Source organism: Homo sapiens, chromosome 16 (assembly GCF_000001405.40).
Source record: "Homo sapiens chromosome 16, GRCh38.p14 Primary Assembly".
NCBI classification, from domain to species: domain Eukaryota; kingdom Metazoa; phylum Chordata; class Mammalia; order Primates; family Hominidae; genus Homo; species Homo sapiens.
Window position 1 is genome coordinate 46,569,415 of NC_000016.10, and position 13,438 is coordinate 46,582,852.

Sequence of the window (13,438 nt, forward strand, 5' to 3'; positions counted from 1 at the left end):
AACCCCCATGAGGACACTCTCTGGCGGGCGGAGCTCCTTGCAAATCGCGGCTGCAGCTCGGGCGCCAGCGAAGGCTGCTGAGCTCAGAACCGAGGACCTCAGAGTAGGCAGCGCACCACTCCCTGCCCAGCCAGCAGACCCTCCCAGCGCAGCTTCTGGTGCCTGCCTGCACCCGCTCCCCTGGCTTGTGCCTAGAGCCACCTGGATGGAGCCCAGCGGCCCATTCCGCCCCTACGCAGCCACAGCCGCTGCAGTCCGGCCTGGCTTCCTTGGTTGAGACTGACCCCGGGGCCCGCGCTGCTGGAGGAAAAATAGTCAGAGGAGATGCTGGGTTGCATTCATCTGTGTCATATTAGAGTCTTTCCTCAGCTGTCTGGGGATCCTGCGCGGTCTGCTCCATTTAAAAAGTCAGCACATTACCACCTGATTGGAGGCTCAATCCCCTGATGCTTAGCAACTATGAGCTTTACCAGAGGTCAATCATGGGGCGTTCCCTTAAAAAGCATCCAGTATTTGTACAGTATCTCTGGGGAAATGACCACGAAGGGAGACCTAAAAAACATTTCTATAAACCTCTGCCCGTAGAGTACAGACCTGGCAGTCGGCATCCTGGAAGCTGAGCATGAGAAGAAAACTAGGGATCAGGCTCGGTGACTCAGGCCTGTAATCCCTGCACTGTGGGAGGCCAAGGCGGGAGGATCGCTTGAGCTCAGGAGTTAAAGACCAGCCTGGGCAACATGGAGGAACCCTGTCTCTACAAAAATTAGCTGGGTGTGGTGGCGGGCACCTGTAGTCCCAGCTTCTCAGGAGGCTGAGCCACGAGAATCATTTAAACCCTGGAGGCGGAGGTTGCAGTGAGCCAAGATGGCACCACCGCACTCCAGCCTGGGTGACAGGACGAGACCTTGTCTAACAAAAAAGAAAAGAAAAAGGAGAAAGAGAAGAAAACTAGGAGCCATTCACATAACCCCGTTTTCAGTACAGCACTCCAGTGGCCTACTACGCCTAGTGTCTGCCAGGCCAGAGACCCTCTTTTTTTTTTTTTTTTTTTTTTTTGAGATGGAGTTGCGCTCTTGTTGCCCAGGCTAGAGTGCAGTGGCTCGACCTCAGCTCACTGCAACCTCTGCCACCCACGTTCAAGTGATTCTCCTGCCTCAGCCTGCCGGTTAGCTGGGATTACAGGCGTCTACCACCACACCCAGCTAATTTTTTGTATTTTTAGTAGAGACGGGGTTTCATCATGTTGGCCAGGCTGGTCTCGAACTCCTGACCTCAGGTGATCCACCGCCCCCCCCCACCCTCGGCCTCCCAAAGTATTGGGATTACAGGCCTAAGCCACCGTGCCCTGCCGATTTTCTGCTTTTTCAAATCTCACCTTTACCTTTACTTCCAGAAGTACCTGAAAGTGCCAATTCCTGCACCAGGCACTTCCCAGCAGAGAAAACTGACTCCTAAGCTAGCAGTAGGGAGAACCAAGTCAGTTCCCACTTGTCCATGTGCTTTTCAACTTCCAAATTTTGCATATTTTATTTCCTTTCTCTTTCTTTTTGTGTTTTTTTTGAGTTTACATATTCTTTTAATCTTCTTACTCTTTGTTACTCTCAAAGCTTCGCTAACATGCTAAGTGATGCATACATTGAATCAGCCATCTCTACCTAGAACTGAAACTGACTTTCAATCCCCAAAGAAATCCCAGTCCTAAGTTAACAAGAAGAAACACAGAAAACCCTACTCCCCTTTTAGTCTAATGAGACCAACCAAATGTCCTCCCTATGGAACTATGAAACAGGAAAGTTCCCACGATCTTGCAATCCAGGCTGTAGTGGATTATAACAGCTACTGTTTGGGACTGCCCAAAGCGTCTCCTTTTGGTGCACTTGATGCAGACATAACCAGTCATAGCATCTCATTACCCGGGGCAGAGGGATTTATATGCTTCAACCAAGACCAATCAGAGTCCTTCCCTTGGATAAATACGCGGCTGTTGGAAAAAGCAACTGCAGTAGAAAAAGGGCTTTGAAGATGAAAAGTTGGGCGGCACCAGCGAGGGCCCAGGCGGGAGATGCTGATGAGGCTGGGAGGACGCTGCTGAGCCCCTGTCAGCCTGACAGCCAGCACATGATGGCAATAGAGGAGCTCAAAGTGTGCCTTCTCGGGGACACTGGCGTAGGGAAATCAAGCATTGTGTATCGATTTGCCCAGGATCACTTTGACCGCAACATAAGCCCTACCATTGAGGTATCTTTTGTGACCAAAACTGCGCCTTCTGGAAATGACCTTCACAAGTTCCTCATCTGGGACACTGCTGGCCAGGAACGGTTTCATTCGTTGGCTCATGTGCTATGGAGGATCGGCTGCAGCTGATACAGTGCATGATGTTACCCAAACAGGATTCATTTCATACAGATGTTACCCAAACAGGATTCATTTCATGCCTTGAAGAAGTGGGATAAAGAGCTGAAAGAACATGGTCCAGAAAACATTGTAATGACTATTACTGAAACAAGTGCCATCTCTCAGATATTAGGGAGTTTCCCCTGAAGGATGCTGAGGAATATGCTGAATCCGTGGGTGCCATCATGGTTGAGACGAGGGCAAAAAATGCTATTAATATCAAGGTATCAGCCACCAGATCTCATCCTTGGACCCCCACAAAAATGGAAACAGTGGAGCAATGAAACTTGGGAAGCAAACCATGCAAGCCAGCCACAGATGCTGTTGACCCAAGGGCAGCTGTCCCTGGCACTTGAAGAAGCCAGACCCCATGCCCTGAGTGCTGCTGAAAGACCCCATGCTCCGTGGCCTGGCACCTCACTTTCAGAAGAGCGAGTGAGCTGGCTTTACATCCTGGAAGACCTACAGGGTGGGGCAGGAAATGTCCCTAAAACAGATTTTAGAAAACTCTGGAAAAACCCACCACACCACCACAAAATGGCCGTTAGTATGTGAAATGCACATTGGAGGGATGATACTTATTAGGTAATAAGAGTAGTTACATTTTTGCTAAAAACCTTTAAAAATTCTTGGATTTGTATAAAAGCCTACTGCCTTATTATGTGTATGGGATTCCACAGTGGTGTTCCACTCGGATTTCCTGTGCTATCTATCCAAATTTCAGTAACTTCTTCAGTGCCATTGCCTTTGTTACCTAACCAACCTTCACTGAAAGGCAGATTTAATTCAGGAGGTTACTTTTTAGCTAGCTTTGGAAGTAAGCCTTTATTTATTACTTTTCTGAAGGATATCAGAGAAGTGTCAATGGACCATCACTCAGACTGAGACTTGAGCTATTATAGAACCTGGGAAATATGTATTAGAAACTGTTGCCTACACCTCTTTTAATTGGTGAACATTTTTCTAAGTTGTGGTCATATATAAACAAAAAAACCAAATCAGACTAAATCACTGCATATAATTTTGGGACTGGGAGGCCTAGTTCCTCAAAAAGTGAAACGGAATTAACATATGATAATTACCATAACAGCTGCATTCACAATAGCCAAAAAGGGAAAATAATCCAAATGTCCATCAACAGATGAATGGATAAACAAAGTGGTCCATGCATACAACGCAATATTCAAATATAAAAAGCCATGAAGCACTGTTGCATGCTGCAACTTGAATGAGCCTTGAAAATATTATGCTAAGAGATCAAACAAGAAGTAAAAGACCATATATTGTATGATTACATTTCTATGACATGTCCAGAAGAGGCAAATCCAAAGATGCAGAAAGTAGATTAGCCATTGCCAGAGCCGGAAGAAGAAGGGATGGAGAGAGAGTAACCGCAAGGGACACAGATTTCTTTTGCGGGTGAGGGACATGTTCTGGGGTTAGATCATGCTGATAGTGGTACGACTTTGAGAATATATTAAAAACCACTGAACTGTACACTTTAAAGATTAAATTTTATGATGTATAAATTATTTTGCAATACAAAGAAAATAAAGGCAGACTCCATGCGGTAGGAAGTGGTTAACCTACTTGACGGATTTATTTTCTCATCATCTTAAATATAAACAGTGGGGAGGGCCGAGTGCTAGCGGGCCTGGGGGAGTCGGCAGGGCTGGGTCCCCCCTGTTCTCAGAGCCGCTCCAGCCTGCGCCCGAGGCCTGATTACAGAAGGAAACGTGGCCCTTCCGTGCCTGTATCCGGGGCGGGGAGCTTCTGTCTAGGGAAGGAGGCAAACGGCCTCGGGCATGCCCCCACCTCCAGGAACCAGGGAAATGAGGGTGAGGGCCCCACATTCCCTGGCGGAGACGCTGCTGAGCCTCGAGAGGGTGATCTGAAAGAAGCTAGGATCAGGATGATGGCACTTGTGATGACTCAGAACAAAGGCACCACACCCCGGGGCGGGAGGCCGGCGAGTCACCCACGACCACACTCAGGGTCAAAACGCAATTCTGAAAGAGCAAGAAAGTTCAGAAAGTCCATTGCTACGGCCAGGAAGTTCCAGACCCCTCAAGCCTTCACGTGTGACTACGGGATGAGTGCGGGGTAAGCAGACACTAGGCTGGACAACAGCCACCAGTGTCCTGAGGTCTGAGCTTTTGCCGCACAGTCACCTAGGGAGCGACGTCGGCCAGGAGTGCGGGAAGAAGTTTCCTGTGAAGGCAGTGGAGAAAGCTGAGAAATGCCACACAGCGGAGAAGCCGTTTGTGAAATGTGCACAAAAGGTTTCACCACAGAGGCCCACCTGAAAGAATGCCTAAAAATCCACTTAGGGGCCGGGCGTGATGGCTCATGTCTGTAATCCCAGTACTTTGGGAGGCCAAGGTGGGTGGATCACTTGAGGTCAGGAGTTCGAGACCAGGCTGGTGAAACTCCGTCTCTACTAAAAATATAAAAAGTAGCCAGGCATCATGGTGCAAGTCTGAAATACCAGCTACTTGGGAGGCTGAGGCAGGAGAATCACTTGAGCCCAGGAGGTGGAGGTTGCAGTGAGAAGAGATCCTGCCACTGCACTTCAGCTTGGGTGACAGAGTGAGACTCCGTCTCAAAACATACACAGGACCGGGTGTGGTGTGTCACACCTATAATCACAGCACTTTGGGAGGCCGAGGCAGGCGGATCACAAGGTCAGGAAATCGAGACCAGCCTGACCAACATGGAGAAACCCCATCTCTACTAAAAATACAAAAATTAGCCAGGCGTGGTGGTGGGTGCCTGTAATCCCAGCTACTCGGGAGGCTGAGGCAGGAGAATCGTTTGAACCCAGGAGGCGGAGGTTGCAGTGAGCCGAGATCGCGCCACTGCACTCCAGCCTGGGTGACAGAGGGAGACTCCGTCTCAAAAAAATAAGGATACACACACAGACATAACGCACACACACTGGATGTAAGCCCTACAGTTGTGAGCTGTGTGGAAAATTATTTATTCGTGCCCCAGACTTAAAGCACTGTCAGAGAGTTCACAATAACAAAAGAGTTTGCATGCCAGGTGAGTGACAAAGCCTTCAAACCCAAGTCCCACCTCAAGATCACGAAAGAGGACACAGAAGGGAAATGCCTTGCGTGTGGCTCCTGCACTGAGGCATTTATTTGCCAAGGAGTCTGCTCCGTAAAGGCATGAGAACCATGTGCACAGTGAAAGGATGCAGGTTACCCACAGTGCCATCCAGCAGGGGACCCAGCTGCTGCAGGTGGCATTGATGGCGGAAGCAGAGCAGCAGCTGGAAACACAGCCTGAAGCTAGGGGTGAGGGACAGGGACACTGCCTGGGAAGTAGAGACAGAGATGACATGGATTATAATGAATGGGTGCCAGTTACCCATTTCTGTGGAAGTGTATGGAGCAAGGTACTCAGTTGACTTCAGGCAGTGCTTAGATATTTGTAAGACTTTCCAAGGAAATGATGTTCCTCAGTTCTGACCATGCCGTTTCACTGCCCTGTCGTGATTTTGAGAACTCCTGTGTCCAGTTCAGATGCCAGAGACTTCTATCCCATCTTTAATTGCACTACACTCGCCACACTGGCAAGTGCCCTGCACAGAGTACTAAATGAATTTTCTAATCATCACAATTCTGTGATTTATGGTCAAAAGAGCAGGTTTAGTAACTTAATAATTAAGTTCTTCAGATAGATGCAGAAAATATTCGTGGGTGACCAAGAACATTGTGCAAATATCAAACCAAGTTCTAGAGATGCAGAATGGTGTTAGATTTGTTTGGTTTGTTAATTTTACGTGACGCTTTTTCACTGTTTTGTGGACAAATCATGGTTTTTTTGCTGAAGTGTTTCTTCATCCATTTTGGTTGCCCTGTACCTACCCCAGAAGCTGAAGTCACACGCACCGAAGGCTGAGCAAACCCATGATGGTGGTGATCTTGGGGCTGAGCTCTCAGGTTCCTATGACTGGGGGCAATGCTATGCCATACCAGCTAAGATTTGTGGAGTGGTGCAGTGGTGAGGAGAAAAGGCTCTCAGAGACAAGGCTTTACATGTGTAACAATTCCAAGGTTTCCTAGATTAAAATCATTCTTAATTGATTTTGAAATTGGATTTTTATTTAGAATTGAAATCAGAACAAGAACAGATATGTTTCTTTAGATATATTTGTATAACTTCACAGAATGTCATCAAGATTTTGGGGTCTCTGGGGCACATGATTTACCCATAAAGGAGATGCAATATGCTTATCGATTTGATTTAAAATCTGTTAAGTGTGTAAAAAGTAAACAATGCAGTAATCACAAATAAAATATCTATTTAATAAAGCATGCCCTATTTAGCAACATCTTAAAGTAGGTAGCTCAAGGTTAACTATATAGACCTGAAAATTATTAAAATGTTACTTTTGAAATATTTTCAGTACAAATTTTTCATAAATTTCATCTGGCTTCCAATAACTGTCCACATTAAGAAGGTGTTACGGGCTAATTATGTCTCTCACAAAATTCATAGATTGAAGTTATGCTGAAGTCTTAACCCATGTGCCTTAAAATATGACTGTATTTCGAGACAGGTCCTGTATATTAAAAGTAAAATGAGGTCTTATGGGTAGGCCCTAATCCAATGTGACTGGCATCCTTATAAGAGATGAGGACACAAACAGGCACAGAGTAGAGACCATGTGAAGGCACATGGAAAAAGACGGCCATCTACAAGCTAGACACATGCATATTGGTACTCAAGTGATACCACAGGGGACCCTCTGTAGGTTTCTGGTGCTGTCTGTGCATCTCCCTCCCTTCCAGTGATCTGCCTTGCAAATTCTGGCTGCCTTGGCCTCTAAGCTCTGACTCTGTCTCCCTGACTTAGTGAATTAACCAGGCTTCATTTCCCCTCCCTGTAGTGAGGCCTGGAATCTGCCCTTAAGCACTAAGCTGGTGTAATTGTAGAACTTACTTTTTCAGTTTTTCTTCTTAGGTATTACTGTTCTGTGTTGCCTGTTACATGACATCTGGAAAACCACTGTCTCAGATATATCTTGTCCAGTCTTCTAGGTAAGGCATGGGGGTAAACCTACGACCTATTACTCTATCTTGGCTAAAAGCTGGTCTTGAATCTTCCAGATTGGAAGCATTTCCAAAGGAAGTGGGGGACTCTATATTAGTAGCCAATTGGTAAGCAGGTCAAATTTCTAAGAGTTTCTCTAGCTCATTTTTGTTGAAATTTGACTAAAATGGTTGATGTTTGACTGTGGACACATTTGAGAATACTTAGATAAAGGGGAGTCTGGGTGGAATGGATCCAGGACATCAACCCTTTCAGCTGAACACATTCACATCCCAGAATCTCAGACATTTCTGGTTCCATTTGCTTACATCCAAAATTAAGAGTTTTCTGCACTCAGGCCTATTTGTTTGGGTGATGTCAAGGGTGGGTGGAAATAAAAATCCTCCCTCACTAAGAAGCCTGTACACTTGTGGAGTTCAGCTTTTACTACTTTCAGGCCAGGTGGACTGGCAACTTTCTCACTGAAACAGTGTGAATAAACTTGGTGTGTAGCTTTTTAAAACCCATTTGGAATAAAATTGGAACAATTTAGCAAGCAGTTAAGAACTAATTAAATCTTTGCATTGTTTTCATGGGAAACATAATACATTATAGTTATTTGTGATTTTTTTTTTTTGAGATGGAGTTTTGCTCTTGTCACCCAGGCTGGAGTTCAATGGTGCTATCTTGGCTCACTGCAACCTCCACCTCCTGGGTTCAAGTGATTCTCCTGCCACAGCCTCCCTACTAGCTGGGATTACAGGCGCCTGCCACCATGCCTGGCTAATTTTTGTATTTTTAGTAGAGACAGGGTTTCACCATGTTGGCCAGGCTGGTCTCGACCTCCTGACCTTAGGTGATCCACCTGCCTCGGCCTCCCAAAGTGCTGGGATTATAGGCATGAGCCACTGTGCCTGGCCTGTGATTTTTTTTTTTAAGAGACAGGGCCTCACTCTGTCACCCAGGCTGGAGTGCAGTGGTGCAATCATAGCTCACTGCAGCCTGTAACTCCTGGGTTCTAGCAATCCTCCTACTTCTACCTCCTGAGTAGCTGGAACCACAGATGCATGCCACCATGCCTTCCTAATTTTTAAAATTTTTTAGAGATGAGGTCTTGCTATGTTGCCCTGGCTGGTCTCAAACTCCTAGTCCCAAGCGATCTTCCCACCTCAGCCTCCCAGAGTGCTGGGATTACAGGCATCCAGCCTAAAATAAATTTTTAAGAAGCAGCTTACAACTTCCATTAAGGCATGGGAGGCGGCAGTTGCAGTGAGCCAAGATCACGCCATTGCATTCCACCCTGGGTGACAGAGAGGGAAGGGAAGGGAAAGGAAAAGGGAGAGGGAAAGGGAAAGGGAAAGGGAAGGGGAAGGAGATGGAGGGGAAGGGGAAGGGGAAGGGGAAGGAGATGGAGGGGAAGGGGAAGGAGATGGAGGGGAAGGGGAAGGGGAAGGGGAAGGGGAAAAGAAAGAAAACAGAACTCATACTGTCAAGAAACCTTATAAAAGTAAGAAATGTAATCAAGCTCTCATCCTTAGATGTTTAGTTCCAAGAACCAACTCTCATACAGCCTTTCTCAGTTGAGTTTCTATCACTTACAACTGAAAGAATTCCAGCAATGGGCTATAACACAACTATCAAAAGAATAAGGTGGATTTGTATGTACAGACATATTTTTCTGCAATATATTAAGGGAAAATAGCAATAGCAATTCTCAGAGCATTGATATATTACACCTGTTTTGTTTTTAAAATATATATTTTTTTCTATTAATAGTGAGAACTAAAAAAAGAGGAGAATGTTCACCACATATAAGACTTTAAAACATATACATATATATATTTAATCACAGAATAAAACAAAATGTTATAAAATTAAATGCTATGCATAAATTTTGCATCAAAGGCCAATTATCAAAATTTATTTCAACTTAATTTCCATAGAAGCCTGTGGAATGTACTTCCTAGAAAGGAATAAGAATAAAAACAGCAAACTGAATTACAAAGAAACATGAACGACACGGTTCTTATGAGCTCATCAGTGTTCTATTGAACTTTCTTCAATCTCCCTCTGAAAAGCAAAATCCAGAAAATGATTATTTCACCATCCTTCTGTAACTCCAGAAAAGTGAAGTGTATATACACTTGAGATCAAATGATCTCTGGGCAGTTTTTAAAAATATATTCGTGTTAATATCTATGGTGCAATAATACAACAAGAAACTGAAGAAGGGAAATACATCTAAAGAAGCTAAAATAAAATACTCAAATCAGCAAAATAGAATTTTGCTACCTGCCATAAATTCAAGGTCACACTAAGAGTGGACCATAAGGACAGGACACACAATTAGTCAACACAGAAGGCTATCCTTTCTCCACATCAGTGTTTTCATCTCAAATATCAAACCCATACCCCTCTAGGGCACTCCCTAAATTCCCTATGCTATACCATTTGAGATGTTTAACTCTCCATGATTGAGGCAAAATGTACTGCATATAACTTAAATAAGAACAAAGTAGGCCTACTCATTATAATGAATCATGTGAATAAAAATTAATATAAGCTTAGATTTAAGCTAAAATAGACATGAAATCTGAAAAACTCCATGTTATAAAAAGAAACAAGGAAGGTATAAATGTTACTAACTTATCTACAAAATCTAAACCAAGATAAAGTAGAAATTCAATTGAAAAATCAATGTGATTTGGGAGGCTGAGGTGGGTGGATCACTTGAGGTCAGGAGTTTGAGAACAGCCTGGGCAACATGGTGAAACCCCATATCTACTAAAAATACAAAAAAAAGGCCAGGCACGTGGCTCATGCCTGTAATCCCAGCACTTTGGGAGGCCAAGGTGGGTGGATCACTTGAGGTCAGGAGTTTGAGACCAGCCTGGCCAACATGGTTAAACCCTGTCTCTACTAAAAATACAAAAATTAGCCAGGCATGGTGGCTGTCATACCAGCTACTTGGGAGGCTGAGGCATGAGAATCACTTGAACCCAGGAGACTGAGGTTGCAATGAGCCGAGATCATGCCACTGCACTCCAGCCTGGGTGACAAAGTGAAGCTCCATCTCAAAAACAAAACAAAATAAAATAAAAATAAAATAAATACAAAAAAAAAATTAGCTGGGCATGGTGGCGGGCACCTATAATCCCAGCTACTCAGGCGACTGAGGCAGGAGAATTGCTTGAATTCAGGAGGTGGAGGTTACAGTAAGCCGAGATAGTGCCACTGCACTCCAGCCTGGGTGACAGAGCAAGACTCCATCTCAAAAAAAAAAAAAAAGTGATTTTTTTTTAAGTTGAATAAATGGTTTTTATCTTAAGGCATCACATCTAGAGGCAAAAATTAAAAAAAAGAATAAAAGGTTTTAATATCAACATTTGGCTGAAACTGATGCAGAAATGAACATTACTTTTTAAACCTCCTTGCAACAAGATTTTTTAAAAGTAAAAATACCTTTCAATGATCAAATAATAAATCTAACATAAATCCTACATTTAGTAGCATCCAAAAAATAAGAATTATTTTTTACTCAAATTTAAAAAACAAACATAACCACACTTAATGGGAAAAAATGTAATACTCTTTCTAAAGCATGAAAACAGATACCAAAATACCATGTATTCTTAAATGACCACATATGCTACACTGACACTATGGCCCACAGTGAGTTTGAAAAGATATAACAAGATTCAATTTTGTTATTTCATCACTATAATTTTAATCATTAGGCATATTAATGTCACATACAGTTTTTAAAATATAAATATTTTTAAAGCTGTTTTACAATATGATAACAAGAACACCCAGCAGATACAGGTTGTACAGTTAATCATTTTGACTGTGTCAGTAATATAATCAGAATACTGTAACGGTAAGAGAAAAATACTTTTTTTTTTTTTTGAGACTGGGTCTCGCTCTGTCGCCCAAGCTGGAATGCAGTGGCGCAATCACACCTCACTGCAGCCTCAACCTCCTGGGCTCAAGGATCCTCTAGCCTCAGCCTCCTGAGTAGCTGGAACTACATGCATGCACCACCACACTCAGCTAATTTTTTTTAAATTTATTTTTAGTAGAGACAGGGTCTCACTATGTTGCCTAGGCTAGTCTTGAACTCCTGGGCTCAAGTGATCCTCCTGCCTCAGCCTCCCAAAGTGCTGCGATTACAAGCGTGAGCCACCGCCTGGCCCGAAAAATACCTTGTTTTTAATCATTCCCATTCAGCAATAGTGAAAATGCTCTATGTACAACATTGGCTCTGAATAACACATTTCATTTCTGCTTCAAACCTCCTATGCTGTCTATCGCTGTTTTGACGACTGCATAGCTCAACAGAAAAATGCGTCCCATTGACGTCTCAATAATAAGTCTGATTAGGCAGATAAATTCCCAATCATAAAAGCTTTTATTTTAAGACAAGTATTATGCAAATACAGGATGGAAATCAGACTCACTGTAATTGGGATGAAAAGGCAACTCTAAGAAGAATGCTGTACATATGACACCTATTGCATTTTTATGCACTAGTCTTGCATTCCCTTCCTTACTTCCTCGTCTTTGAAGTGCTAAAGGTAATTACACTAAAAAGTTACTACCAGGCTTAATATGAGAGAACCATGTGTATAAGAAAGCAAGACTTTCAGATAAGCAATCTCCAAATATTTTCTATTTTATATGCATTTATGATTTTTCTTATAAAGAGGGAGTGTTTTATGTGCAACACCTGCAAATGGAAATAAATCTACCTTTCACTCAAGCCCAAATAATCAAATATAAAATACAGACAATACAGCAAACTACAATGGCAGCAGTGATTCTTAGGGCAGCATGTGCAAAATCCAGTATTTTGCTATCTACTTACATCACTGTAGTCAGAAAAGAAATGTGCCAAAACTACCTTTCCCATTCCACTTGAACTGGTTCCCCACAATCCCAACAAACATCTCCTGTGACATTAAGTTGTCATCAGCTTGCGTGATCCCCAGTTCACTCAACCTTTTCTTCTTTATCTGGCCTTTCTGTGTGGAGGCAGCAATTAGTTCATTTACAATTTCACAATTTCCCTCGACTTGCTCAGAAGGGTCAGTTCTTGCACAAAGCTCCATTTTACCAGTTGCACACTCAATCAGCTCTTCTAGATCCACTCTTTCAGCCACATCTGGCTCTCCACTTGTCTGAATTTTAAGCGCTTTATTTTCTGGAGAAACAAACAAATAATAACAAAGTTAAATATACAAGCTAACCCAACAAAAACATATATTTCTACACAGTCTTCTCAACAAGCAGCTGCCTTGCTTTCTATACCAAGGTTCCCTGACCCTCACACAGGATCACCAATTTTGAACTCTTCCTTTACCCTTTTCATCCCAGAATCACTTTTACTCAACAGACATTTCCTGGATAGTTACTATCTGCTAAGCACTGCGTTAGGAGATAGGATGCACAGATTGATAAGATAGTGCCACTTTTCTAAATGAAGTCCCAATCTAGCAGCTAATTCTAGATAGGCCCCATGATCCCCACCCCCTGGTATTACTTTCATGCCTATTAAATGGCAGAAGAATTTTGCACTGTAATTTTACAATGTAATTAAGATTGCTAATCAGTTTTCTCCAGCTGGTTGCTAAAGAGGAAGTCAGAGAAATTCAGAGCATGAGAGATTTGCCTTGAGGGATGTTCTCTGTTGCTGAGATGGGGGGGCCATGAGGCAAGAACCTGAGAGCAGCCTCTAGGAGCTGAGTGCCAGCCCCAGCAAACAGCCAGCAGCCAGCAAGAAAATGGAGACTTCAGACCCATGAGCTAAAGGAATGAATTCTGCCCATGAATGATATGAATGCGTTTGGAGACAGAGTCTGCCCCCAGAGCTTTCAGATGAGTCCTGCCCAGCTGACACCTTTATTTTACTTTTGTGAGACCTGTGAAGAAATAAAGAACTTGCAGAGATGTAACTGGAGCAGATCCTGAAGGATGACAAGGACTACCCTTTAAACTCTTT

General features: G+C 43.5%; 1 protein-coding gene and 2 pseudogenes across 4 annotated transcripts in view, besides 1 other annotated feature; 2 read left to right on the forward strand and 1 right to left on the reverse strand.

Moving 5' to 3' along the window:
• RAB31P1 (RAB31 pseudogene 1) lies at positions 2,033-2,918 on the forward strand (annotated as a pseudogene).
• Positions 3,815-4,465: an enhancer, noted in NCBI's record as "H3K27ac-H3K4me1 hESC enhancer chr16:46607141-46607791 (GRCh37/hg19 assembly coordinates)". NCBI's record gives its function as "activates a minimal SCP1, AML or CMV promoter by ChIP-STARR-seq in naive H9 embryonic stem cells {active_cell/tissue: H9 hESC(naive)}" and the evidence as "EXISTENCE:reporter gene assay evidence [ECO:0000049][PMID:30033119]".
• On the forward strand, positions 4,250-5,680 carry LOC100421259 (zinc finger and BTB domain containing 14 pseudogene; annotated as a pseudogene).
• The window catches only part of SHCBP1 (SHC binding and spindle associated 1), a 42,789-nt gene continuing 38,527 nt past the window's right edge, over positions 9,177-13,438 (reverse strand). For all 4 annotated transcript variants that reach the window (NR_136738.2, NM_001324318.2, NM_001324319.2 and 1 more), the window contains one exon: positions 9,177-12,640. Coding sequence is in view for 3 of the 4 variants with exons in the window: in NM_001324318.2 (NP_001311247.1) it covers positions 12,315-12,640 (326 nt within the window). In the remaining variant the exon portion in view is untranslated. The remainder of the gene's footprint in view (positions 12,641-13,438) is intronic.